Source organism: Homo sapiens, chromosome 7 (genome assembly GCF_000001405.40).
Source record: "Homo sapiens chromosome 7, GRCh38.p14 Primary Assembly".
Taxonomy (NCBI): domain Eukaryota; kingdom Metazoa; phylum Chordata; class Mammalia; order Primates; family Hominidae; genus Homo; species Homo sapiens.
The window spans coordinates 18386642-18414085 of NC_000007.14; the positions used below are offsets into that span (position 1 = coordinate 18386642).

The window sequence follows — 27444 nt, forward strand, 5'->3', positions numbered from 1 at the left end:
CCCAGTCCCTTTTGTGCAGCCTAGTTAGAGTAATCAAAGCAACTCATCACGATTAAACCATAGCTGGAAAAGAGACTGTTCTATTGCTATAGTTTCAAGCAATCTATTCCCACTCGTATTCAGTCCTCAGAGAAAAGAAGATTACACACTGCCTTCTTTTGTCATTTCAGCTCTTTTACTGAATTCCACTAATGGAATTTAGTCTGGTCTCTTGGGATACACCACATGGCCAAATTCATTCTCTGCTTTTGACAGAAATATCTACCATGGATTCTCTCCCTTCAGCTCTCTCTTACCATTTTCTTCACCTCCCGCAATGTGGCAGCTCATCAGTGTTTTTATGTCTTTGTAACCCTCTTGGGTCTGGCCTTTCATGAAGATTGCCAGTCTCAGATCTGCCTAGTTCTGCTGATAGATAAGGAATATGGAGCTTCCATTTCTGAGGATAAAAGAAGATTCGAAGAGGAAGAGTATCTCCTGCTCAAAGAGGGCTTGTCTCTCTTTGCTTTAAAAAGCTCCCATTTTTATAAGTTGAATCTTTTCTATGTTTCAGCATGGGCTGGATCAAGGGGGGAATCTACCCTGCCACAGCTTTCTGTCCATCACTATTCTTGTTCTATTTATGTGTAGATTTTCAGCCAATATAATATGTTGGTACCCAGTGAGGAGTTTTGCATATAAAAAGGGCTCAATTAAATGCTGGATTCATAATCCTGCCCATTTAAAAAAAGTCCCACATTTTATTCTCTTTTGCTATTATAGAATCTGAGTACAATTAAAGCTTTCTCCAAATTGCCTGTGTTGTATTTCTCAGTCAGAAGCTTGCAAAGAATATTTTAAACAGTTGTCGTGTGGGCTTTTCCCGAAATGCCATGTCACTCCAAAAGTGATACTCTGCTATTTTGACTACTCATAGAAAATGAGGAAGGAGGTAGGCTGAACAGAGAGAAATTCCAACTGAAGTAGTACTCCTAGCCAAGCCAGTGGTATAGCACCATTGCTCATCTTTAGAATTTTAGAAATAACTAAGGCAGTATGTACTTTTAAAAACCTTTTATTTCAGTGGCAAAATAAATGATTAAATAATAATATCAGTTGGTATAGGGATAAGCGAATAAAACATCTCATTTCTTGATATTTTTTATATGAATTCCAATAGTGTGATGTGGTTATAGTCTTTGTTGGGGACTGTGTTTGTGACAGTAAAGCAATAAATTTTATTATGTCATTATGTGAAAAACATCTTAACATTTTTTGTGTGTCTTAAAGTAGGTTACAGAGGACAAAATAATCTGTGGAGAGAAAAAAAAAAGAAAAAAGCTTTCCATTCACGTTAGATTGCAGTAACCCAGTGATTTCTTGTACTTTAAATAATTTCTGAAATTTTAGTTTTAAATTCTAGTAAGAATATTTTTAAATTATACATAGGATCTATGTGGGCCCATCTTATCCAGGAGAGAGTTTATTTCACATATTCATGTAGGCTTGTTTTACAAAAACGACGTAAATGTTATGACTAAAAAACACCCTGCTATATTTGTACGTGTGGCTAAGATAATCAAATAAGACCATTCCCAAGTTGTCCCTAGAGTATTTTATTTATGTTCCCAGTACCCCTGCCATGACTCCCTGAGAGGTTCTCCCTTGACACTGATCCTCCTTGAGCACATCTGAAGTAGCTGGTAGGGAAGGTGTCCACAGTGAGGGCTGTGTAGCTTTCAGAGCCCCCATCCCTTCCATGTAAGTCTGAAGCCCCAATATTGTTTTGTGCAGCCTGTGAGGATAGAGGAGAAGGGAAGGAGGAAGTATTTTTGAGAACTAGTTTCACAGTGCTTTTTTGAAATTTTAATCAGAGAGTTTGCTTTTTTAAACCATAGACTTGTAGTTTCTTAGTACTTTAGTTCCCTCAGAAATTTAACAGGTTCTGATATATTGCTTCTAGTCAGTTCCGTGACCAGGAAACACATGAAAAGTTGTTCTAAATGTAGTTCCTAACTCTGCTCTTTTTCTTTCTTTCCATGCCCCGTGCTTCTTTCTCTACTCAGTGGTGGCCACCTTGAGTCCATCTGAAACAACAGACTGGGGGAATTGGTGGGGTGGCTTTATTCTTAGCTACAATACTATTTTTGTTACAGAACTAAGTCTTTTGTGAATTGGGAATTTTAATGGAATTTTGTTTTTCAAAGCTTTTATATTTATTTTTGCTCTTTGGGAATCAGATGCAGTGTAATTTTTCAGCTCTTCAAAGTATCAAATTTCTTGACACTCTCATTCCTTTTCATTTCTAGTTAATTTTTGTCTGAACTAACCTTTTTCTTGTCGTACCTTGCAGTCAGTGGCAAAAATCAACAATATATAAGAACATCATGGCCTCTTGAACCCTCTTGTTCGCTGAAGCTGCAGTTTCACTAGGCAATTGGATTGCCTTTCGAATAGCTGTAGGCTTTAGTTTTACTGAATGTTTTTTCATTGGTATGAGTTGCCAGTATTCCAGCTTGTTTTGTCTGTTTTTTTGCTACCTGATTTTGGCCACTAAGCTAATACTTAAGTGTTGAGCCTTTGTTACAGTCCCAATTCATTTCAAGTTGTCAATTCACTTTCTCTGTTAAGCTAGGCTAGGAGTAGTAGCACAGAGACCACAAAATAATCAGTGGATAATCACAATAATATTTTATTTCTCATTCACGTAAGAGTCCTGGAGTTATAGGCATTTAGGACAGCACAGCAGCTCTCCTGTATTCTTCAGGGCCCTGTAGTGATGGTAGCTTCGAAATCAGCACATGGCTTCCAGTGTTGCTCAGGATGTCTGCATCCCAGGCACTAGAAGGGAAACAGCATCTGGACGAGTGCTCATGGTCATTCTGTAAAGGCTAGATCTGAAATGGCACTTGTTACTTCTACTCACATTCTGTTGGAGACAAGGTTGTCACTTTACCTAACTGCAAGGGAGGCTGGGTTGTATATGGTAGGAGGAGAGAAACATTAGTGGCTGGCTTGTGGTCTCTGCCACAAGATGATGGGAAGGAATTTATGTATGTCAAGTATATGCATAAGCAAAAAGAAAATGTTTACCTTAAAGACAGTTGGACTTAATGATTAGATGATAAGGGACCAAAATATGGAAAAGGAACTGTGAACTAATCATTAATATCATGTGATACTCTGAAAGAGATAACTATTTTGATTTTCTAAAAATGCAGCAAAGGCAAAGAGGGGTTAATAAAAGTTGGCTTCTGGGATTGTATACTTTAGAGAGTGTGTGACTTCCTGAGGATACAGTTTTATATTTATTTTGGCATTTTGTGAACATGACTAACATGTTCTCCATACGCATCAATTAGTGTAGTTGTTCTGAAAAAATAAGATATTTTTAGATCTCAGTTGTGTTTGACCCTAGAGAAAGACAACACACACACACACACACACACACACACACACACACACACACACACACGTCGTAGAGAAGGGAAGTAATGGGGGATGAGGCAAGGGGTGAGAACTGAACATTTATTTGTTCAAAGGTTTGACCGTGATTTTCTTGGCTTTTGTTAGGAAGAATATAGCTAGATTTAAAAGTAATTCTCGGATAATGACTAGACACAATTCAGTAGTGTTTGCATGGCTCTTGGCAACTGATCACTCCCTGGAATACACTGAGAGAGCTGGAGAGGGGGTTTCAGTGCCTGCTCTTAGGTTTTTCAGAATTATGGCTGAGATCCCAGTAGGTCAGCAAGGTCTGTCTCTCACAGCAACCATTGGTTCCTAGAAACCCTTAGGGTTTACTTATGTTCTTGAATGTTTGGTTTTATTCTTAGTTCCTGTTTTTCCTTCCTGTCACATCCTAGACCAGGCCACTTTGCATGTCATTCTTGAGTTCTGTAGTAGTTTGGTACAGGCTACTCCTCTCTTTCCACTTCAGTATATTCTGTGTCCGGCTTTTTCCTGCTCATAAAACCTTAAATTACTGTACGTTGTTCAAAGGATATATTTCAGTCTGTGCCTAGACAAAGCCTAGTCCAGCAGCCAGAAGTCTTCAGTTCTGGCCCCAGTTTTGCCACTAACTAGCTGCATGGCCAAGGAGAAGTGACTTATGAGAATATATCTGTCCCCAGCTTCTCTGTGAAACAATAAGCATTCTAAGGAAGATTAGAAAACATTGTGTTTGGGCTGGGCATGGTGGCTCACGCCTGTAATCCCAACAGTTTGGGAGGCCAAGGCAGGCAGATCACTTGAGGTGAGTAGTTCAAGACCATCCTGGCTAACATGATGAGATCCTGTCTCTACTAAAAATACAAAAATTAGCCAGGCATGGTGGCACACACCTGTAGTCCCAGCTACTAGGGAGACTGAGGTGGGAGAGTTGCTTGAACCCGGGAAGTGGAAGTTGCAATGAGCCAAGATTGTGCCATTGCACTCCAGCCTGGGCAATAGAGTGAGACTCCATCTCAAAGAACAAAGTTCAGCCAGGCGCGGTGGCTCATGCCTGTAATCCTAGCACTTTGGGAGGCTGAGGTGAGCAGATCACCTGAGGTCAGGAGTTCGGGACCAGCCTGGCCAACATGGTGAAACCCCGTCTCTACTAAAAATACAAAAATTATCCGGGCATGGTGGCACGTGCCTGTAATTCCAGCTATGTGGGAGGCTGAGGCAGGAGAATCACTGGAACCCGGAAGGCAGAGGCTGCAGTGAGCCGCTATCGTGCCACTGCATTCCAGCCTGAGCGATGGAGCGAGACGCCATCCCCCCCCCAAAAAAAAAAGAAAGTAAAAAAGAAGAGAGAACATTGTGTCCTACATCCTTTTCTTGGCCATCTGAAGTTGTATAGTGATATATTTTAGATGTTTCGGGAAATCCTGTCACAAAGTGACCTGTTTACCTGCATTAAACCTTGCATAGCCTTCACCAATTGGCCAGCAAAACCTTTTGTTCACATAACATATTAACATTCCACCTCCACACAAATAGTGTTACCCAGAAGACACACTTAGAAATAATGAACTATGTTGAGGATACTAGAGAGCTTCTGAAAATGTCTCCACTTTTTCATCTTTATCACCTATTAAGAATGGCAGCTTTGAAGTAAGATGCCTGGATATAAACCCCTCACTTAGTACACAGACAATTTTGGGCAAGTTACTTAATCTTTTTGCTCTCTGGTTTCTTCTTCTGTCAAATGAGGGCAATAGAAGTTTTTACCATGGGGTTATTTACAGGATTCCATGAGTTCACACAGGCCTAGTGCTCACAGCAGAGCCTGGTATGTAGTAAGCATTGCCCATTATCAATAGGCACTTTGCCTATCTCCTCCATGGTGCCTTTCACTTTCCCACACTTTACTTTTACTTGTATCTTTCCCTTATGTAAAATGACCTCCTCATCCTCATAATTTAACTAGCAATTTCTTTAATGAGGTGAGCAAGACACAGTGAAAAGAGAGAAGTTTTGAGTCACACAGATTTGTATTCTCATTCTAGAATGACCATTTACAAGTTGTATTACCTGAGTGAGTTACTCAGCCTATCTTGACCTTAGATTCCCTGGCAATCTGGGATTATTATAATATGATCCACAAGTGTGCTGTGAACCTTCAGGTACATGATTATACATTCTCTTTCTATCTCTGTCTCTGTCACTCTCTCTCTCTCTCTGTCTCTCTCTCTCTCTCTCTCTCTCTCACACACACACACACACACACACACACACACACACACTGTCTATATCTAATCTCTGTCTCTCTAGATAGATGGATAGATAGATGGATAGATAGATAGATAGATAGATAGATAGATAGATAGATAGACAGATATTCTTAATGGGTGATGCTAATGATGTTAAAATCCGTTACTGGTAAATATAGGTATTTGGTAAATGCAAACGTGATATTCTTATAATTATTATAATTATTAGCTTAAATCCTGTTCTCACTCTGGCACCTTTTCTGACATCTGCAATCCAACTAATGCAATTTTCCAGAGAATGGTAAGAGATTGACCTCTGTGTATTGCGCATCCAGATCAATTTATTATTGATATTGTTAGTATTTTACCTTGTCATCAACAAAGTATTTGAGTTATACTTTTATTTTTCCAGAGGACATGATATTTCATTCTTCACATGGGAGGGGTCACTCAGATATGATTTAGACTAGAAAGAACCAGCGAGGGCTAAGGGAAGCAGCTGAATATACTTTTCCTCTCACCCTGTTTATTTGCTGGACTTGACATTCAGAGTTAACAGTTCACTAAAAAGGTGTGAATGTAGGTCTGGCCATGACTGGCAAAAAAAAAAAAAAAAAAAAAAAAGGAAATACTAATAAAATAGACAAAATTTCACCAAGATTTTTAAAGAAAATAATTAAGTGTGGAGGGATGTATGAACATTATTAGAAATGGGAATGGGCAGAACAGTGATTCACTTGTGATATTAAAATCTTAAGTAAATACAAAAAAATTGCTGATGATTTTAAAAATTTAGATAAAATGGATTTTTTTTTTTTAAAAAAACATAAATTGGCTCAAGATGAAATAGAAAATCTGAGGAACAATAATCACTAAAGAAATTAATTTAGGCTAAGAAGAAGAGTGAATTAAACCAGTAAAGTTTATAAGAAGTATCCTGGACAAGAGAAGAAACATAAAATTGGTCAAAATTAGAATTAGGAAAAATGTATTTTGGAGGAGAGATAATCTTGACCAGATAGGATCAGGGAGGTTCTTTTCAAGATGGATTAGACCTGGATAGTAAAGGAGTAGAGGGAACAGAGGAGATTTGCAGCAAATGCAGCAAAATGGTCACCTGTTTTAAATCAGGCATGCTTCTCCTACTATTTTTGTTACTTTTCTAGATATTTGAAATATTTCTAGGTTTAAAATTAAGTTTTTAAAAGGATGGATGAGGTGAGGCAGGGAGGGGGAGGCATGTAGAACTGTGAACAGAAAGACTCATCTGGAGTCGATTTTTGTTTAGAAGTGCAGGAGGAAAGTGAGCTAAAATTAAAGCCACAGAATTTTAGAGTATTATGGGAACCTCCCATTTCCCATTCCTGCTACCCTGACAGAGCTGCTTTTAATACCCTAGATGCTGAAAGCTTAGGAAGCTTTTTGATTTTTTGTGTTTTGTGTTTTGTTTTATTTGTTTTGAGTGAAATCATTTTGGCCTTCCTTTTCTTGGTTATGGGAAATTGTTTCAGTGAAAATTTCCTACAGGCTGCTTAAAAGCCACGCACGGAACAATGGGCCTTGTGGCAAGTGAATTGCGTGTGGGGAAGTACTTAGAGTTTAATGTGAGTTATTTTTATTTCCATTCATAGACATGTCTCAGTGAAGTTCAAATTATCCCTTGGACAATAGAAGGCAGTCTGTTAATTTAAAGCTAGACTTTTTTGGTTCCATAAAGCCAAATTTAGGATTGATTTCAAAAGCTAAATAAACAACAGTCTACCTCCCTATTAAAAGTGAGTGTGTCAGGTTTCTGTGTACCTTAGTCTTTAAATAATGTCCACTTAGCATTTCTACAAGGGGCCTTAAATATTTAGAAAGAGGCTATCCTTTACAATTATACCTTGTTTGTTAAAGGGACACTCAAAGGTTGGGGCTGTCTTAATCTTATTACTAAAATTCTGTAGGTGTCACATTTATTTTAACAAATTAAAATAGAGGCTGGAAAAGTTAGGGTTATTGCAGGTGGTGTGATTGGAAATATTAAGAGGGAGCATCGTCTAGAATCCTTAGAGATATTGCTCAGCATCATTTTCCTACAATGCCATAAAATATTATTCTTAAAAATTGTCAGAGGAAACAAATGTTACACTTCCTAGGAGTGCTTCTGAATTTTGACTCTTAAACAGAATCCCCTGTGGAGTTCTTAAAAAGTACACATATTGGGACCCTGTTTTGGAAATTCTGATTCAGTGGTCCAAGGGGACTGGGCCTGGGTGTGTATGCATGTGTGTTATGTGTGGTTTTGTGTGTGTGTGTATCTGTGTGTGGAAAGTTTCACAAGTTATTTTAAAGTATATCTTGAGGATCAAGGGCTAGTACAATAGACTACATTTCATTTCTGTTGAAATTCATTATTTAAGAACTGTACTCTGGAGATTTACCATGTCAGGCTGTAACAAGGCTATTGCTTTCAAGATGGCAAGGTAAAGTCTTAGCCGAACTGTTGTATGGAGGAGCGTGTCATTTCTGATACCAAAGGACACTATGCAGGCCAATCAGCAACACAATTACCTATGTATTTATTAAATAGTTTCATATTTTAGTTTGAAATTTTTCATTTAACATAATTTAACAAAATAAGACAAAACTTCCACTGAGTTAAATACACAAGTATTCAGACATTTAATAGTATTCTGACTCAATATGATGGTCAATGTGATTTACCAAAAAATTTCAGTAAAAATGATAATATCGTAATTTTACAAGGTGGATTTAAATTGATACTTGCACTGTTTGACTTTCTACCAAAATAGGAGTACCTGGTAAAATGCTGTGGTGTATGGAGACAGTTATGAGAAACTGGAGGGAGGATGATAGTTGAGGTAAGTTCAGGCTTTGAGTCACGGTTCTTCCACCAGCTGTGTGACCTGGCAAATAGTTTAACCTTAAAATAGGGCTAATTTTTAGCAACTTCACACATTATCTCACTTAATACTCAACTTGACTAGGTAATTTTGAGTATTTAATGAGATAATGTGTGAAAATGCAACATAAAAATTAAAGCAGTATAATTAATTGTTTGGAGTGGACTCCCTTTGCACTTCTTCTCTATTGGAATTAATGCATGTATGGGACTATCATGTGGTAATTTTGTGCATATAGATTGTGGAATTGCAGAATAAATGAATTATGGCAGACATTTTCACATTTATATTTTTAGTGACCTAAGGCTTCAAAAAAAAAAAAAAAAACTAGATACCTCCCCACTCTTATGGGAAGGAGAGAATTCTTTGTTAGAGTATTCTCAAGTTTGATTATTTTTTCCTGAGATTGGATTTCTTTGATATTATTTATGATCACAACAAAGATACATTTTATGTATCGGAAACTTGACATTGCCAAGACATATTAGACTTTTTAAACATGTTACCTTTTTAAACACTCAACCACTGTTCTCCCAAGGCCGTTACCTTATTTCAGAGAAAGCCTAAAGCCTTTAATTTTACCTCAAAAAGTTTTGATCTGTAGAATTTCATGTTGATACCATTAACATTTGATGCCATTTTTCTATGTGAGAAAAATTTAGGAGGTAGCTACCTTCTTTTGAAAGCCTATATATTGGCCTAGTAGTTGATTCTGTTTTAAATTATGTTTTGATAAATTATAATATTTTGAAATTACACTTTTTATTCTATTAGGAAGGATGTAGGGACAAGCCAGTCTTTTTATATGGTTTCTAGCTGAGTAGATTGTCCTGCCAATGACTCTCAAAGTGTCATTCCCTTCCCTTCCCTTCCCTTCCCTTCCCTTCCCTTCCCTTCCCTTCCCTTGCCTTCCCTTCCTTCTTTCCTTGTTTCCTTCTTTCCTTTCTTCTACAAATATTTACCGAGGGACATTGTGTGCCAGGTACTATAATAGGCACTGGCACTGGGAGTAGATGTGAATAAGAAACACAAACTCCCCACTCATACAGAATTTACATTTTAGTGAGGAATATGGACAATAAATAGGCTAAAAAACTTATAAGATGATTACAGAAATGAAAAGAACTACGCAGGTATTGGCAGGATGCTGTAGAAGGGTGGAGGGATAGTATAGATGAGCTCATCTGATTGCATTCAGCACAGGATATATAGTTAGTTTATTAATATTCCCAATAGCTTGGAAGCAAAGAGGAGTTGATATTCCCCCCTCCCCACCTTCTCCGTATATTCTCCTCTCTAACTTGATTTTCCATTTTAGGCTGCTCTTGATTTTTTACTTGAATTAGATTCTATCCTGGAAATTGTTTTAAGGGATAGAGGTCAAGGTGTTAATTTTTACCCTTGATTGTCACTGTTAAGAGACAATGCCCCTAAGTTTCACACTCCTTTACGCAGACCAGGCTTAAAAATTCCAGGTTTCTAATCAGCGGTGATAATTGTGTTTAGCCAATATATTAAAGACTGCTAAATATTTGGAATTTTACATGGGAAAAATACTTCAGTTAGCATGTTTATCCCACAAGTTCTCCTGATTCCTTGTTGCCGATTTTGATGGGTGAATTTACTTGGGTCAAAGGTTGTCATTGTGTTGTAAAACACATTTTTGTTTTTTTTGGTTTACTTGTTTGTTTGTTCATTTCTTTTTGACTTACAATGTAATACCTTCTCTCCCAATACCGATTGCTCCCCACCCTTGCCCCAGAATTCAGTCTTCTGAGTGAGAGAAATCCACTCTATGTTGGAAAAAAAAAGATCATCGTCGACTCCTATCTTTAGGCAGATACAAAAGGGTATTGAGAGAATAGATTTAGGGTGCATGAGAATAGGTGATTAAGGGATATAATGGATGTGAATGGAAATAGAAGGCACACAGCTTTTAAATGGGTGAAGATGTGTGGACGAGAGAATACGGGGGCAGAAGGGAGTGGTCCTTGTATATTAGTGGTCATATAGTTTTTGTTTTTCAAAGAAAGGAAATTGACATTGACATATTAGCACTAAGTTACCTAAGAACTTTGTTGGTAAAAATCCACTGTATTTTCAACTCAGAATGCACTGAGAGGCATCAAATGCTTTTTTATTACAGAAAGAAAAACATGTCACAAAATCTTGAAGGGGCAATCTGAAATCAAAGCTCTTCATTAAGGCAAATCAGCATAGGGATTATTCCCTAGGCAAATTTTTGGGAGATGGATCGTACACTTTATTCACTGTTTTAGGAAAATGTAATCACCCCTACCTCCTGAGAAAACATTTAGCTTCCCATCCTCCCAGTGTTAGTGGGTGTCTTTGAGAATGCAAAATTCTTTTAATGTTAACTAAACCAGACATCATTCAGAAATGCAATCTGCTTTTTAAAATTCATGTAATATATGGAAAAATTAAAATATAAGTGATTTTTAAACATTCTGCCATATGGAAATACATTCTCTATGACATCCCTTCTCCATTGCCTGATAACAAAAAGCCAGTTGTAGTGAAATTTACATCAGAGTTTGAAAGACAGAAATTCCACATTCCTGAGTGTTATTGACCCTATTGGTAGTATTAAATCAGTCAGGAGGGCCAGAGAAGGGGCTGGCCTGTGGTGTCATTTTAACAATGTCACAAAGTAGCAGCCTCCCAAACCAGGTATTGTCTGTGTATTTCATCCTAAGAAGCGGGAGCTGGCAAGATCCTGACCCTCATTGATTCAGCCACATCATCTTACAGATGAGGGATCTGAAACCCACTGAGGTTCGGAGATTTGTCCAAGGTTTAAATACCCAACCTGAAATTCCAAGTTTATTCTAAAGTAAATTTGTATTACAGGGTGTTATGATCCATTTCTAAACCCGAATCCTAGAAGTCATCCCTTGTAGCTTCTACTTATGAGTATTTTCCACAACTGCTTCAAAGGGCTGTCCTTCTTCAACTAACAGTATTTCAAAATAAGCAAAAACTATTTAAAGCACAACTCAGAAAAACATAGACTAGCATGATTTAATAATGAACAATATCAGTTTTTCAATTGATTCCATATTTTTCTCAGATTTTAACTGATGTCTTTGTATTTTCCATGTAGAAAAGAAGGTATGCTTAATGTGAACATTGTGAAACAAAATAAGATTTTGTTCTTGGGAAACCCTTTTACTTCAAATTTCAGAAAGTAAAGCACTGCCTTAGAGTTGAGTTTGTTTATTTTTGTTTTGTTTTTGTTTCTTTTTGTCTTTTATAGCTTACAACATTTGCCTTTTTTTTTAACCTGGAAACATTGTGATGGACTTTATAGTTCCTTAGATTGGACAAGTGGAAAGATACAGGATTGTGCGTATGAGCCTTTGCTCAACCCAGTGCTTGAGCTGTGTTAGCCCATTGAATTCTTTAAGATATATTTCAGTCATAATTTTACATTTAAATATGGTTAAACTAAGTTTAGCCAATTCTGATGCATTTTTAAAAAGAATGTGCTGTTGAGCTAAGACTCTATATGCTGTATTTTAGCCCCAAGCAGATTTTTATGACAAAGTAATAAACCCCTGGAAACATGTTTATAATGGAAAATGCAACTTGACCTTAACTAGAGGAACCCAAATGCACCTTACAAAAAGGCTCATTTTTTTTTTGAAACATACGAAATCCCTTTCTCCCAGAGGTGGTGTCACAGGAGAAAGGTGTATAATAATAGTTGTATTTACCATAAATACCTAACATATTTTATGATGATTTGATTGTATTAAAAAATTTCACCTTATAGATTTTAATAAAGCTGCCTATGGGCAAAGTTATTGCAGTTGGATTTCTTTTCCTTTGCCCACTGCTCTGTGTGGAAAGAAGCAAGCAACCCTTATAAAAGGCTTTAGTTTTTAGTACCTGGTTAATAAAAAATAATTTCCTCTCCTTTGGACTTGTTCATGAAGCTGAAAAATGACTCTGCAGGTCAGTGGTGTGTGGCAAAGCTAATTTCTATAAGCTTTTTATCAGGTGGTACTGAGTAAAACAATATGGGAAACTGAAAAACCCACCCTTCTGTACCAGATTTACAAGGGTGAGGGTTATCCCCAGTGTCACAAAAAGAAAAAAAATGACACTTTTTCTTCCCAATTTCTGGTACAGTAACGAAAAATTCTGTGTTATAAAAGGTACGAAAGGAAGAACTAAATTGTATGGAGGTGTTCAGCTAAATTTAGATTTTAAAATTCGGACACAAATGGCACTCATTGTTTAAAGCACAGTAAAACTCAACTTTCATTTGTTGTTTTGTCGACAAGGGAATCTCATAGTAATAGGCTAAATGAGGCAAGGCACATCATAGCAACCAGGAAAGTGATTGTCATTCAAATAAATATGCAAGGCTTCTTTTCCCCAAGCATCACATTTTCTCAGAGGAGTACTAGGAAGACATTCTAATCAAGAGAACTGGAGCTGCTTCCCTTGAGGTTCAGCAGAGTGTTTGGTGTGTGCTTTGCAGAGCATGATAGAGAAATATCACATCCCTCCTGTCTCTCCAAGATATTCACAGGCCACATTCCAGGAAAGAAGCTGGAGCAGGGCTGCATAAGGCTCCCAGGCACCTGTGTAGCTGGCAAATCTGCTCCCAGCAAGCTTGAAGTCACATTCTTTTCTTTAGTTTTTCAGGCTGGGGAACAGCGAGGATGCACAGCAGCAATGTATGCTTAGGAGGTCACAGAACCCTTCTTTACTGTCCTTGTGTCAGGGTACCTAGGGCCTTCTTACACTGGCCTATTCGCATCAGAGCCCAAAGGAAAAGTCAGAAACCACAGGAATTTGGAGAGGTTATGGGTGAGTCTTTCTTTTATGATTTCTATTTTAGCAGCTAGCATGGAGACTTGTAGCTGACAACATTAGATGGAAGAAGTACCATGCTACTTTGGAGTCATGTCTTAGATGAAGGTAAAGAGAGAAAAATAATTATAAGGACTTTGGAAGATACAGACTGTTTTCCCTTATTTAGTTTAGTTTAATAAAGGTAAAAGCATGCGATGTGTAGGTGTGAGAGAGGTTTTGGATTGTAAGGGTAGAAATACGTAAAATTTCCAACATAACTGCTGTTCAACAGCTGTATCAATGATTTGGAGAGTGATTGACAGGGAAGAGGACATGTTTTACTACAATACTGAAGTGGAAGACAGAGATCAAGATGGGTGTGGTCTCAGACAAGCATGTTGCTGTAGAAACTGGGGGTTGGCAGTATTCCCTCCCACCAGATGACTTCTTGGTTTCACTGTGAAGTTGGACATGGGGTCATCCATTGAGAGGATAGCCGGGAGGTATGAATGGGAACTTGAAAAGACTGGATGAGGAAGGTGGACAGTTTCTGGAATGGGAGCAGATGCTGAAAAGTGGCACTTAGAAAAGTTGAGAACCCTGCATCAATTTATACATGCAATTATGTGAGTCAAATAGAGGAGGATGAAGATGAATTAGGACTCTACTGGATAGGAGAGGCAGAGGAACAAGAAAGTAGATGTACGATGAAAGCCATGAATCCTGAGGCCCAGAAAAGGAGGAACAGACTACAGTGACATTCCCCTTCAAAAACTGGAGATTGAATCCTGCAAACCACGTCTGCATTTTGTGAAACTTACTTTCCTCTTAGGTTTTCTTTAATGGATTGAGGCCTGAGTGTTTAGATTGAGCTATCAGAAGCTAAATAAACAGTAGTGTAATTTGCATAAGCTAGTCTCAGATGCCTTAGTTGTGGTATAAAAACGCTTGGGAAACTCATCTAAATTTAATCTTTTGTAGGCTGTTTATGGGCTTTCTGGAGAAAATAAGTCTTCCTACTTTTTGTTCAGCTTTCATTACTTTTAATCATTTTGGTCATGGCATGTCAAAGGTTTTCTCTTTGAAAAGTGCTTTTAGTTGGTATTTTTAATGAAGTGTTATCCACTTAAAGTGTGATATAATTGTGATATTACAGCTAGCAGGGAACAAAACAGCTTGATAGTCACTTCCAGGGCTCCTTGAGAAAAACTTATACTCAAGGAAAGGTCAGCTCCTCTCTACTCTGTATACATCTTTTGGGCTCACTTTTGCACAGCTGCTTTGCATGATTCTATGGCTGTTTGCCTCATTTGAAGATGCAGTTGGGAAGAGGAGCAAAGAGTGGCTATGCTGGTGGTTGGGGTGGCCATATTCTGCAAAACACCGCATTCTTCTGGGAGCTTTGCACTTTGCATGATAAGACTTAATCTGTCCCTTTCAATCATAAAGTGGCAGAGCTAGGGTATACTGTGGTGATCATCATGGTGGTGATCATGGTATTCATGATGGAGAATAACCTCAATGCCTCAGCAGAACTGGATAGGTAATTTTCTCTTGTTATAATTGTGCTCAACAACCTGCATTGGTTTTTGCCTCAGTTACATCATGTATAGAGTAAACTTAAATGCATGAGCTTTCAAAAAAACCCATGCTCTAGTCCTAGCCTCGTTTTTATTTTTCTTCCATATTCTGCTACGTACAGCTCTCTTGGCCAGAGTTACTACTCATAGTTCACAATCTGGTGTTACCTGCCTCTGGTATTTTTTTATACAGGCAGTTTCTCTGGCCCTCTTTCCATTTTCTTCTATCAAAATTATACTCATTCTGAGAAACACAATTCGAATATAACTTTTGTTGATATTCTCAATCTGTTGTTCCCTTTTTCAGCTCCCACTGGCCTTTATTTGCACACTGCTTTGTGGCACTTCTCATATCCACTTCCTGATTTATGACTGTTTTTATACTTGTTTCATTCTTTTCTCAATAATCTATTTTGTAAATGCCTTCAGTACCTTTTTGAGAAAGGAAACAACTAATATTTGTTAGGCACTGATCTTGAGTTAAACACCATGGTTGACTTGGAGGGGGTGGATACAATGAAAAATAAGACTTATATCCCTGTTCTTCAGTTCTCAAGGATCTTGTAGTCTAACCAGAAGTAGGACGGGTTAACAGATATATCAATATAATATAATAGGCATAAAAATACAGTAAGCTCAAATTGTTCTGGAAAACAGAGTAAGCTGTCTATCCTGGGATGGAGAGCTCAACAAAGGCCTCCTAAAGGAATGAAATGAAGTAAATCTTAAAGACTGAGTAGGAATCTTTAAGCCAGAAAAGGAGGAGGTTCTGATCTGAGGAAAGAGCCTGTGCAAAGGCATGAGACAGTGTGGGGGATAGAGAAGCCATTAACTTCTCACTATCAATGTAGTATAAAGTAAAAGACTGAGTGAGGTGGGTGGTGAGCTGGGAGTGTAAAACAGGGACCAGTTCATGGAGGGTTTTGATTGCCAAGCTAAGGAGCTGGACTTTTATCATGAATGTATCGGAGTGCCCTCAGAAGGTTTCAGGCAAGTGAGAGGCATGATAAGATTTCTGGGTTGGAGAACTCACTCTGGTAGCAGTGTGAATAATGAACATAGAGGTGAGAGACTGGTTCATATGTGGTATTGCTGATGGTTGGGATGAATTTTGTATGTAAAACAGTTGAATGAAAGGTTGCTTTCAGGCACTTCTTTACTGGCTAGGCACCTCTTTTAAGAACAGACTCAATAAAAAGCCATATACATTATATTACCCTTCAGAGAAAATTTTGGGTGGCATAGCAAATCTAAAAAAAATCCACAGGAAATCTGATGTTCTAAACAGAGCGATTATATAAAACGCTGGCTGTGGCTTAAGCAAACGCAATCACAGAATTGCCTAGCTGTGAGTCAGAGTCGGCTTGATCCTGAAAAGTCCCTTGCTTGATAGTAAATTAGTGGCTTAGGGAAATATGTTTACATTTCATTTCATATTGTACATCTGATTGCATGTTTTGAGAATTGGATATAAAATATCTTTATTTACAGATTTGGAGCTGGGAATTATATTGACTGTGTGTACATACAGACTTAAATTTCCCAGTTAAGTGTATAAATACAGTGAGGTATATACTTACATAGCAAGATAATGCTAATTTGCCATTTTATCTCAAATAGAAACATATCCAAGATATAATAATGGAATTCAGTGACTCTTACGGTAAAGTCATCATTACTATAGAATGGCATACTAGGTCTTATGATTTGATCAATACTAATTTATTGGGGGAAGGCAGAACAGGTTTAACTATTTTTAACTATTTCTTTCCATGTACTTCCATATTTCTTTCTATCATAAAATCGAAACACGCTGTTGCACTTGTTATTTTCCTGGGTCTTTTTTCTATATTCAAAAATACACCTGCTGTGTATTTGGTTGTAGCATCAGAGTCTAGCACAGTGCCTAGTCCTAGTAATTTCTCCATGTATATTTGTGAGAATGAAATGGCAAAATGAATAATGAGTAAATGAAAATAAATAAATGCATAAACAAATACGTAAATGAACCCTAGGTAGGCTTGGCTCACTCATAAACATTTATTGAGTAGCTACTATGTCCAAGGTTCTGATCTGGTACACCATGGTGAGCAAGGCAAAAACAGTTCTTGCCTTTTGAGTTCTTGCTTTATAGATCAAGACATATGTTAATCAAATAGTTATAGAAGAAAATATGTAATTAAGACATATTGTAAACATTGGGAAAGAAAAGTAGAACTTGCTATGAGTCTATTTAATGGAGAGACTTAATCTACCCTGGGTAGGGCAGGGTAAATAAGCTTCTGTGAAGCAGTAGTCTGCAAGCTCAGACCTGAATGAGTTAGCATTAGTTCCATGAAGAGGGGCGAGACCTTGTAGGCAGCAGAAGAGTCTTTTAGAGCTCTCGAGGAGGCTAGGAATGCGGCATGTTGGAGAAACTGACAGGCCAATGCAGAAAAGAAAAGGGGAGTTGACCTTAATCAGAAATCAATAAGGATGAGGCAATACGTATCTTCAAATTTCTTCTTTGACCACATGTACTTGTCATATAAAAATACAAATATAATGTCGTGTAATGCAATGATGTTATATTCATATTTAATATCTAGTTAGTCCACCAAAAGGTATCTATTGATTGACAAGTTGAAAGCCAGCAAAAATGTAAGAGGCATCCTGTCTTTAAGAGGTATATAACATACATAGGCAGGACAAATGTAATGTTTTTTTTAAAGGGAAAAATAATAAATCATGTAAACGATTTATCCTGAATGAAAGAGCAATGTCACATTAGAAGAAGGAGAATGAGAATAGGTTGTATATTGGAGAATTATGCTAGGATTACGCTAGACTGTAAGTTCTACAGGGTAAGGGCTGTGTCTAACTTGTTTCCAGTGCTTAGTGCCTAGGCAGGTATATAATATAATTACTAATGTTGAATTGATTTTACTTCACTTTGTATTCTTGAAATTAGGGTTTCTTATACTATTAATAGTTAAGCTTAGAAACACAAAATACAGTAAATCTTCACTTAATCATTGATAGGTCTTGGAAACTGCAACTTTAAGAGAAACGTTGTATAACAAAATCAGTTTTACCATAGGCTAATTGATATAAACAATAGTTAAGTTTCTACAGTATATTTATGGTCACAAAAATCACCAAACTTCTAAATACTTCTAATATTAACTATTGAAATAAATGTAAGCTATATGTAGAAATGTATAAAAAGAAAGATTAATAAAAAGAAGTACGATTATTGTTTATCTGATTATTCTACTTCAGGGTTGTGGGTGTCCAGAGCTCACCCCAGCAGCTCAGGGAACCAGCCCTGGGCAGGACGCCATCCCATTGCAGGGTGCACTCACACACACCCTCGCACTTACTTAGATGGGGACTATGTGGACACACCAATTCACCGAACATGTGCAACTTTGGGCTGTGGGAGCAAACAGGAGGACCCAGAGAAAGCCCGCGCAGATAAAGGGAGCATGCGCAAACTCCATATAGATAGTGGCCCCCGGCAGGGAATTGATTTTTTTCTTCATCAAAGTTATAACAAAATAACATTATTTGAGGACATGCTGTACATAGACAGCTTCATTTGGAAATGAAAACCTAGTAAACTTTCCCTAGCTCTCCCTTAAAACAGAGCTGCTTCAGACTAGTTTTACATTCCTGTTTTTACCTAAACATGCACAAATATAACTCCAATTTCTAAGTATTTTTTGCCATATTTAATTCTGCTTATTGATTCCTGTTCTAGATTGCTTTTCAGTGTCTCTCCACACATTTTCTCCCCATAATCATCCCCCTATCTTACTCACTTTTCCTTCCCCAAGTGAAAATACAGCACAGCCAGTATAGAAGCATCTGTAACCCACAGTGAAGTGGGAATAGCCATTTTGGTTCCTTTCCTCCTGGTATTGAGCAACTTTTGTTCATCAAATCTGAAAAACAATATCCAGCTTACCTGGGCATCCTTCTTAGAAAGGTAATGGAGATTGGGGCATAAGAAGAAAGAAAATATCTTTTGAATGTGCAGGATTTTCAAGAGAGAAAAAAAAAATATGCTAGGGAAAGAAATTAAGGCAGAACTGATAGTGTTAGAAAAGGTACACTTGAATTTTTTGTTTTAAAATAGTTCAAGTTCAGATAATAATTTGCCATCTTCAACTTTAGCACTTGAACTAAAATACCGCTTTAGCACTTTAACCTGTAGCATAAAAACAATTTAACAAAACAACTTTGGCAGATTCTGCTTAGTTGCCTGTGGTTTCTAGCTGGGTTTCCTGCAATTGCCTGGCAGTTCCTCTCTGTTCTGACCAGATTTCTGGGTAACTGGCCTCCCTTCCCCTCTGGGATTCATGAATCCTGTCTACCAGGAGTTATCACACAAACAGTTAGTTTTAGACCAATCATTGGTTGTAAATATATGTTTTAAATATAAAAGCAATATTGTACAATTATGTTACCTACAGTTTTTAGAATAATGAAAACATTCTTAAAAATACTGATAATTCAGCTAGTATAACATGAACAAGTGTATCATTTTGGTTTATAAATTATTTAATCGATTCAAAATAATATGACTTTTCCATAATTGTAAGTAGAGTTAACACAAAACATTGTCCTACTTTCTCATCCAAACATTTTTATAAGACAAGTATTAGGTTGGTGTAAAAGTAATTGCAGTTTTTTGCAATTACTTTTAATGGCAAAAACTGAAATTATGTTTGTACCAACCCAATCAATATTTCCCTTTTTTTCTTTTTCTTTCTTTTTTTTTATTTTTTTCTTTTGAGATGGAGTCTCGCTCTGTCGCCCGGGCTGGAGTGCAAGTGGTGCGATCTCAGCTCACTGCAAGCTCCGCCTCCCGGGTTTACGCCATTTTCCTGCCTCAGCCTCCCGAGTAGCTGGGACTACAGGTGCCTGCCACCATGCCCGGCTAATTTTTTGTATTTTTAGTAGAGACGGGGTTTCACCGTGTTAGGATGGTCTCAATCTCCTGACCTCGTGATCCACCCGCCTTGGCCTTCCAAAGTGCTGGGATTACAGGTGTGAGCTGCCATGCCCGGCCTTCCCCTTTTTTTCTAAAATACTTTTACGTATAACTTTTTTGGATGCCTAATTTTGGTCTAGTAACTACACCATATTGTATGAAACATCTCTCTTATGATTAGAGTTTTAGGTTCTTTCATCTTTGTTTTTTTTCTCTCTTTTTCTAGTTATTAAAAATAATATAGTGATGAAGGACTCTCTTTATACACATAAAGATGTATTGCTTAAAATTACTTATGTGAGATAGGTTCCCAGAAATAATCAGATATATCTTCTTAGATAAAATAAACAACTTGGTTACATGCCTGGAAAATAATAATAGAAATATATAAACAATATGTCTATAAGCAATTAAAGGTGTATCAATATGTATAGACCCAGCTTAGGTATTCTTTCTTACTGAAATCTCCTGATCTCACTATATGTATTTCTTTCTTTCTAAACTTCCGAAGTCTAAGGTCTGGTCCTTTTTTCTTTCACTCCAGATCTTATTTATCTCTCAGTCTGTTGGAGAGGATTCCACTTTCCTAATCTTCATGTTTTGTTCACCTATTTATTGAGTTCTTTGCTCTATATCTAGAAAAACTCCTGAATGCTATCCGATGATTCCTTTCTTGGACCCAAGAGTCATTTGTTCAAAATGTTATTTGAACATCTCTGCAGTAAGTATAGTTGTTCATCAGGGACAAATAATGTTGCACATTAAAATCTTGTCTCCTTATGTATTGTGTTCTAATGTCTCAAGCTACTGTAACAAATCTCAAAGTGGGGTGACACGTTTAGGCAAACAAAGAGCCTAAAAACGTATGAACAGCCAATAGAAACAGGAAATTCAAAGTCAATGTGCAGCCTTCTGTGATTCATCAGTTCACCAGGTAAGATCTTGGATAAAAAAAAAAATCATCCCATTGTTCACACAGTCTCTAGCAGAATGTGGGTAGGCACTTAATAACATTACAATGCAGTTTGAATTCTTGAAACCCTGCAAAGCATTTATGAGTTAAATGTTAGAGCACTAGGATGCACCATTCGATAGAACAATAGTAAAACTGGCAGAACTGTTTTTCATATGTCAATTAAGACTGCACTCCGGAGACCATTAAGGAAAAGGATGCTGCTATTCCCCGCAGTTAAAGGAAATCTATTGTGTTTCCTTTGGTCTAGATATATAAGTTCTGCAGAAAATGTCTTTCAGTAGGTTAGGATCTGCTAAGATTTGATCCTAAATTATTTTTCAGATAGAGATAATAAAATCATAAGAAGAAACACTTTGGATTCTAATGGAGTGAGTTTGAGTTCTGGCCATATTCAATTGTGTGTCGATGGACAAATTAACCTCATACTTACATCGTACTTACGTCGTGGAATTATTGAGGGGATTAAATGAGATGATGTATGTATAATGCTTAGCATTATACTTGGCGCAAAGTTGGTACTCAATAAGTGTTAATACTTATTAGTATGATGATTTTGTTAATTTGATGACAAAAGGGGATGAATTGTGTTAAAATCAGCAAATATTGAAGAACCAACCTAAAGGTTTTTCCTCACTAGATTATCAGCTACATGAAGGCAAGTATGTGTTGTCTTTTAAAAAATTATTGTTTCTACAATACATAATTCTTGAGTTATAGAAGGCACTCAATGAAGGAAGAGAATGAATGAATGAATGAACAAATTCCTAACTTGTGTCTGTCTCTTGGCCTTTGAGTATATAGGTATTTTCACAGCCATAGGAAAATCAGATGCTATAATAATAATTCTACTAGCTTTCTGACATAAATCTTTTAATTTCCTTCTTAGGAGGCTAGTTCACATAAATAAAACACTAGAAAAGGAAAATAGCTCTTCCTGGTTCTGTAAGTTCAAAAAATAACCAATTTCTTAATATGGCAGTAATTCCTTGTATGACTAGCTGGGCTGGGACTGAGACCAAGGACCTTGACACTAATGGGCCGTTTATGAAATTTACATAGCCTGAAGTCATCCTATCGGAATGTCCTTAGTAACCATCACCATTGTTACAGAAAAGAATTGGGAGGCTTTTTCTTTCTTGCAATGATTTCTTTAGTTTTTTTATGTTGTGGGTCCTATGGTTGAGATCATGGTTTGGGTATTTACATAAGAGCAAACAGTCCTAGAAGTATGTAATAATTTCTAATGCAGCTCCTTGGTAAAAAGAATGCAACAAATGACACAGATCTACAGCACAACATTAGAAAAGGCGCAGATTAAATTTGAAACAAGAGCAACCTAGTGCAAATAAAACCCTTCAGGTAGCAGCTTTTTGGAGATAATCAAATCCGTTTTTAGACTTCCACATTTTCCTAACTTTATGCCCTCCATAAGGATGTGATTTCTGATATGCGTTTGTGTGCTTTTACTTGTTGGTGACTTTTGAAAGAAGTCAGCCCTGGAATGTAGTTGCCTTGCAAAAAAATTCAAGGGAATATTTTGTAGGTTTTGCTGTCTATGCCTTGGAAGCAAACAAATTATGGTACAGGACTGGAACTTTACCTACTTGTTAATTGGCAGGTTAAACTTTTATGAGTTTCTGGTACCCTGGCGATACATGACTATTAAAATTTGCAGGTGGTTCAAGGGGAGAGAGATGTAAGTTCCTGTGCTAGTAATATATCATAAAAGTGTGTATTTCATGTGCCTGTTGTGAAAATGGAGACTTTAATACTCTTTCACAGTATAAGCTGATTAAGGAATCTTTATGGATCTCATTAACGATGGGCCTTTTTTTCACAGAAAGTGAAAAGTGTAATGCTTATAGACAAGCATAGAAGAAAATAATTAGCTTGGTAGTGCCTCTTTGAGACTGAGTTTAGAGCACCCTCTGCATTCCCTTCCCAACCCTCAGAAACTGCCCTTGTCTCAGAAATTGCTTCTACCACATGAAATACTGTAAATCTGTCATTTTATTTTTACTTTCAAAAGACCGTGTTTGCTTAATTTTACTTACATTTAATAGATGGTATGTTTCCTTTTTCGAGTCCATGTTTTCATTAGGAAATACAAAGACATATACTGTGGCTAGTGATGTGATTCCACATAATGAACTAAATTTTGGAAAAAGTGATAAGGGGATTGTAGTTCTTTGGAAACTCTATTTTCTTATATTTTACATGTAATCTTAGGATGGAAAGCTCCTCAAATATTGGCTAAATTAAACATTTGCCCGAAAATCTTAGAAGTAGATCTTTGTATCCAGGAGCATAGCTTGTTTTAGCATAGAGAAATAGTGATATGAATTAGCTTTAACTAAGAAAAGGGTAGTAAAGTGAACAATAGAAAGTATTCGTTTTATTTTAAATTTTTAGTCCATAATTTTTCTTTACCCATTTTTTTTTGGAGAATTTCTGTCTGTTTCTCTTAGTATCATCATAATCTTAATATAGCACTTTTGGAACACTAGATTGTGATTTAGTTTCTTCACTCTCTTGGTAAATATATAATGTAGTTTGAAGGTACTTCATCCATTGGCACTTGTTGAAAAATTCATTCTTTAGAAATGGTTATTTTCTAAATTGGTTTAACCTATGGTCAGGGTGATGGAGCAGCAAGGGAGGTGGGACTGCATGGGGCCAGGGGATGGAGAGACTTAGGGACAAGATGAGTGTGTCATGGAGAAGCTGAGGACCACAGGAAGGCATTGGCAATGGACATAATGAAGAAAGAAGTAATGCTGGATGAACAATCCTGTTGGGCTTTTAGCTCTGACATCAGTCATAAAAATTTTGTCTCCCAAATTGGTTGCCAAGAACCTATAGTTCTTTGTTTCAACAAAGAATGTTTTCTGAGCGTGACAATTGTGTGCATATAATTGTATATGATAATAAGTATATATACACACACTATTTACATGTTATATACATACATACACTGATAATGTACTATATTTTAATAAAGACTTGAATGACCTTTATGGCTTTTGTTAAATTAGCTTTGTTTTTAAAATCTCATTTTAAAATGTGAGACAGTAGTACATACAGTAGAGTTGACAGGAATGTATTTCCTTATTTTTAAAGGATATATTGTGTCAGGAAAGAAGAATCATCAACTCTTTTGACCCAGTGAGATTTAAGAAGGTGGGAATAGAGACTTTTATAAAAGTTTCTGCCTAAATATTTTTTTAAATTGTGTATGTACTCCAAATGATATTCTTATCAAGTCTTATGATTAATATAGCTTTACAAATAATTCACCATTTTAATGAGGGTTGTGAGAAGCAAGCTCAATGTTATAGGAAAGAAGTAAAAAAAATAGCCTTATAGAATTATAATCGTCAAGGAAGTATTTGGGAATCAAAGCCTAGTTTTGGAAATCATTTCTTGCCAAGTGAAAAGGTGCTAAGCTTCTCAGCAAGAAGTCATTTGTAGCACAGGCTTGTCTGTCAGTGTTTGGGAGGTGCTAATAAGCAAATAAGCCCAGAGTTCCAGCCTGAGTATTTGGTACATCCATGGAGTGCTGGTGGGTATCTTACCTTAGGGAAAGCTGCAAGTCAGTCCACAAGATTTACTGGAGACCTACTTTCTATATATAGATAGTCCCCGATGTTTGATGGTTTGACGTAAGATTTTTTTGACTTTACGGTGGTACAAAAGTAATACACCTTCAGCAGAAATCAAACTGCAAATACACAATCATTCTGTGTTTCATTTTTAGTACAGTATTCAATAAATTACATGAAATATTAGACTTCTTTTCTTTTTTTGAGATGGAGTCTTGCTCTGTCACTCAGGCTGGAGTGCAGTGGCGTGATTTTGGCTCACTGCAGCCTCCGCCTACTGGGTTCAAGCGATCCTCCTGCCTCAGCCTCGCATGTAGCTGGGGCTACAGGTGTACACCATCACACCTGGCTAATTTTTTTGTATTTTTAGTAGAGGTGGGGTTTCACCATGTTAGCCAAGATGGTCTTGATCTCCTGACCTCGTGATCTGCCTGCCTTGGCCTCCCAAAGTGCTGGGATTACAGGCGTAAGCCACTGTGCCCAGCTAGCTTTTTAAAAAATAGTCTTTGTGTTAGATGATTTTGCCCAAATGTAGGCTAATGTAAGTTTTCTGAAGAAATTTAAGGTAGACTAGGCAAAGCTATGATGTTCACAGTAGGTTTGGTGTACTAAATGTAATTTCAACTTGCTTTTTTTTTTTTTTTTTTTTTTTTATCAGACAGGGTCTCACTCTGTTGCCTAGGCTGGAGTGCAGTGGCATGTTCTCACCTCACTGCATCCTCCACCTCCCGGGTTCAGGTGATTCTTCTGCCTCAGCCTCCTGAGTAGCTGGGACTACAGGTGTGCACCACTATGCCCAGCTAATGTTTGTATTTTTTTGGTAGAGAAGGGGTTTCACTGTGTTGGCCAGGCTGGTCTTGAACTCCTGACCTCAAATGATCCGCTTGCCTTAGCCTCCCAAAGTGCTGGGATTACAGGTGTGAGCCACTGCGCCCAGCCTCAACTTGCTGTATTTTCAATGTATGATGGGCTTATAGGGTTATAACCCCATCCTAAGTGGAGGAGCATCTGTGTAGGTCTTTTACTAGGTGCCTGTCTGGGAGAAAATGTTATTTAAGAATAGGTTATAAGGATTTGTTTTTTCTTGCACATTCTTTATTTTCTAGCCAGAGTAGATAAATAAACAAACAATATATAGCTCACTGAAAAAACTATAATAACAAAAAAGTCAAAACTACGATGGAATGTATCAATCAGAGGAGAAAACAGAGGCAAAGGTTTCAGGAAAGGAAGGCTTCCCACAGTACTATAAGGGATGGTATTAGTGATTGCTTGCACCTTTGTTCGTCAGCTTTGTGCTATATGCCTTATAAATCATTTATTTTTACCATTTAGTGCCATAGGAATCCTATGATGAAGACACGATCATACTCCTGTTAGATGAGGATCCGGCAGTTCAGATGTGTGAAGTAACTTGCTGGCCGTTGCATCACTAAGGGACTCACGCTCAGTTGTGATTTGCTTCAAAGCCTGATCTCTTTATTACATGGCAGAAAACAAAGTGAATGTTATTCATAATAAAAAGTATATGCCACATGCAACAGGGACTCATATCTCCAGTTTTCTTAGTTCAACTGTGAGGTAAAAATTATGTAAAAATTAGAAGAAAAGGCCGTCTAGCAAAGGAAGACTCTTCATCTAATGAAAACTTGAAAAAATTAAAACAATAGTGTAATGAAATGGATTATTTATTTTTTAAAATTCAAAATTAAATGAATATTGATTTTAAAAACTTTAGAAATTAGTGGAATATGAAACAATTCAAACTACATTAGAAACAAGTGCCAGTCAAGGTTTTAAAATATGTCCATCTTTAGATTAACTAATTAAAAATGTTTTAGCTTAAGTAAATTGTAAAATTTCTCTGTCAAGGATGTCTACCTACTAAAATTTCATTTAAAGGCATTCATTAGTTTTAGCTACCAACTAAATAGGAAAGTTTTCATCGCAATTTGAAGGGTATGCAAAATAATAATATGTAATTTCCTATAGATATTTTTGTTATGAATTGGTATTTGCTGCAATGATATCAAAAAAGGAAAGTAGAGCAGAAGGAAGCCCAGACGTCTCAGTTTTAATTTGAGGAAAGAGTATGTGATAAGTATAATATACCACTGGTTCTCTAGGTTCCATTAAAAGACTGTAAAGAGAAAGAAAAGAATTCTTTGGAACTAATGATTCCAATCTGGAGTCTATCTCTGGATCCCTAAGGATTCACCAACTTAAACATTAGTTTCCTTGTTGATATTTTTGAAGTCCTAATGTTAATACCTTTCCCCCACTTAAAGATACACAAGACTTAAGACTTAAACTGTTGAGCATTTTCACTGTTTATTACTACATCAACAGTATGATAACATTGTCTCTCCTATATGTCGGAAGCTCTGATTTGCCATTATATGTGTCTTTGTTTATAAATAATATGAAACTATATAATTCTTACTTTATACAATTTGCTTGGTAGACAAAATTTTTGAATTAATTGTATACATAGAGGAATAGATAATAAAAGGGTATATTGAAAAGGCTGGGAATCACTATTCTGTATACTGTACTTAGAATTTAGGTGAGTAAAATGACCTCATACATCATTGCAAGACTGAGGCTGGTGTTTTTTGCTGCCTAAAACTAAAGATATTTAGCATTTGGGCATTAGCTAATAATGATTAACTCTGTGGTAGGTGCTATATCTTTGTGTTAAGGTAAACATACTTTAATATTTGGGACTTTTCCTTGAATATTGTATAAGCCAGTTATGATAAGAGATTTAAGTGAAAGTGCTAATAAACTCCCTTCAGACTCAGACCACACATGAGAAACTTCCCCTCAGAAGGAAATTAGAAGGCCAGAGGGAAGAAATTATAAGTAAATGAACGGCGTTTTAAAACTGAGGTGCT

At 36.9% G+C, this 27444-nt stretch overlaps 1 protein-coding gene across 8 annotated transcripts in view, besides 2 other annotated features; it reads left to right on the forward strand.

Moving 5' to 3' along the window:
* HDAC9 (histone deacetylase 9) overlaps window positions 1–27444 on the forward strand; it is a 915592-nt gene that overhangs the window by 299817 nt on the left and 588331 nt on the right. The window lies entirely within an intron of this gene.
* Window positions 10118–10833: an enhancer, noted in NCBI's record as "OCT4-NANOG hESC enhancer chr7:18436382-18437097 (GRCh37/hg19 assembly coordinates)". NCBI's record gives its function as "activates a minimal SCP1, AML or CMV promoter by ChIP-STARR-seq in primed H9 embryonic stem cells {active_cell/tissue: H9 hESC(primed)}" and the evidence as "EXISTENCE:reporter gene assay evidence [ECO:0000049][PMID:30033119]".
* Window positions 20803–21304: an enhancer, noted in NCBI's record as "NANOG hESC enhancer chr7:18447067-18447568 (GRCh37/hg19 assembly coordinates)". NCBI's record gives its function as "activates a minimal SCP1, AML or CMV promoter by ChIP-STARR-seq in naive H9 embryonic stem cells {active_cell/tissue: H9 hESC(naive)}" and the evidence as "EXISTENCE:reporter gene assay evidence [ECO:0000049][PMID:30033119]".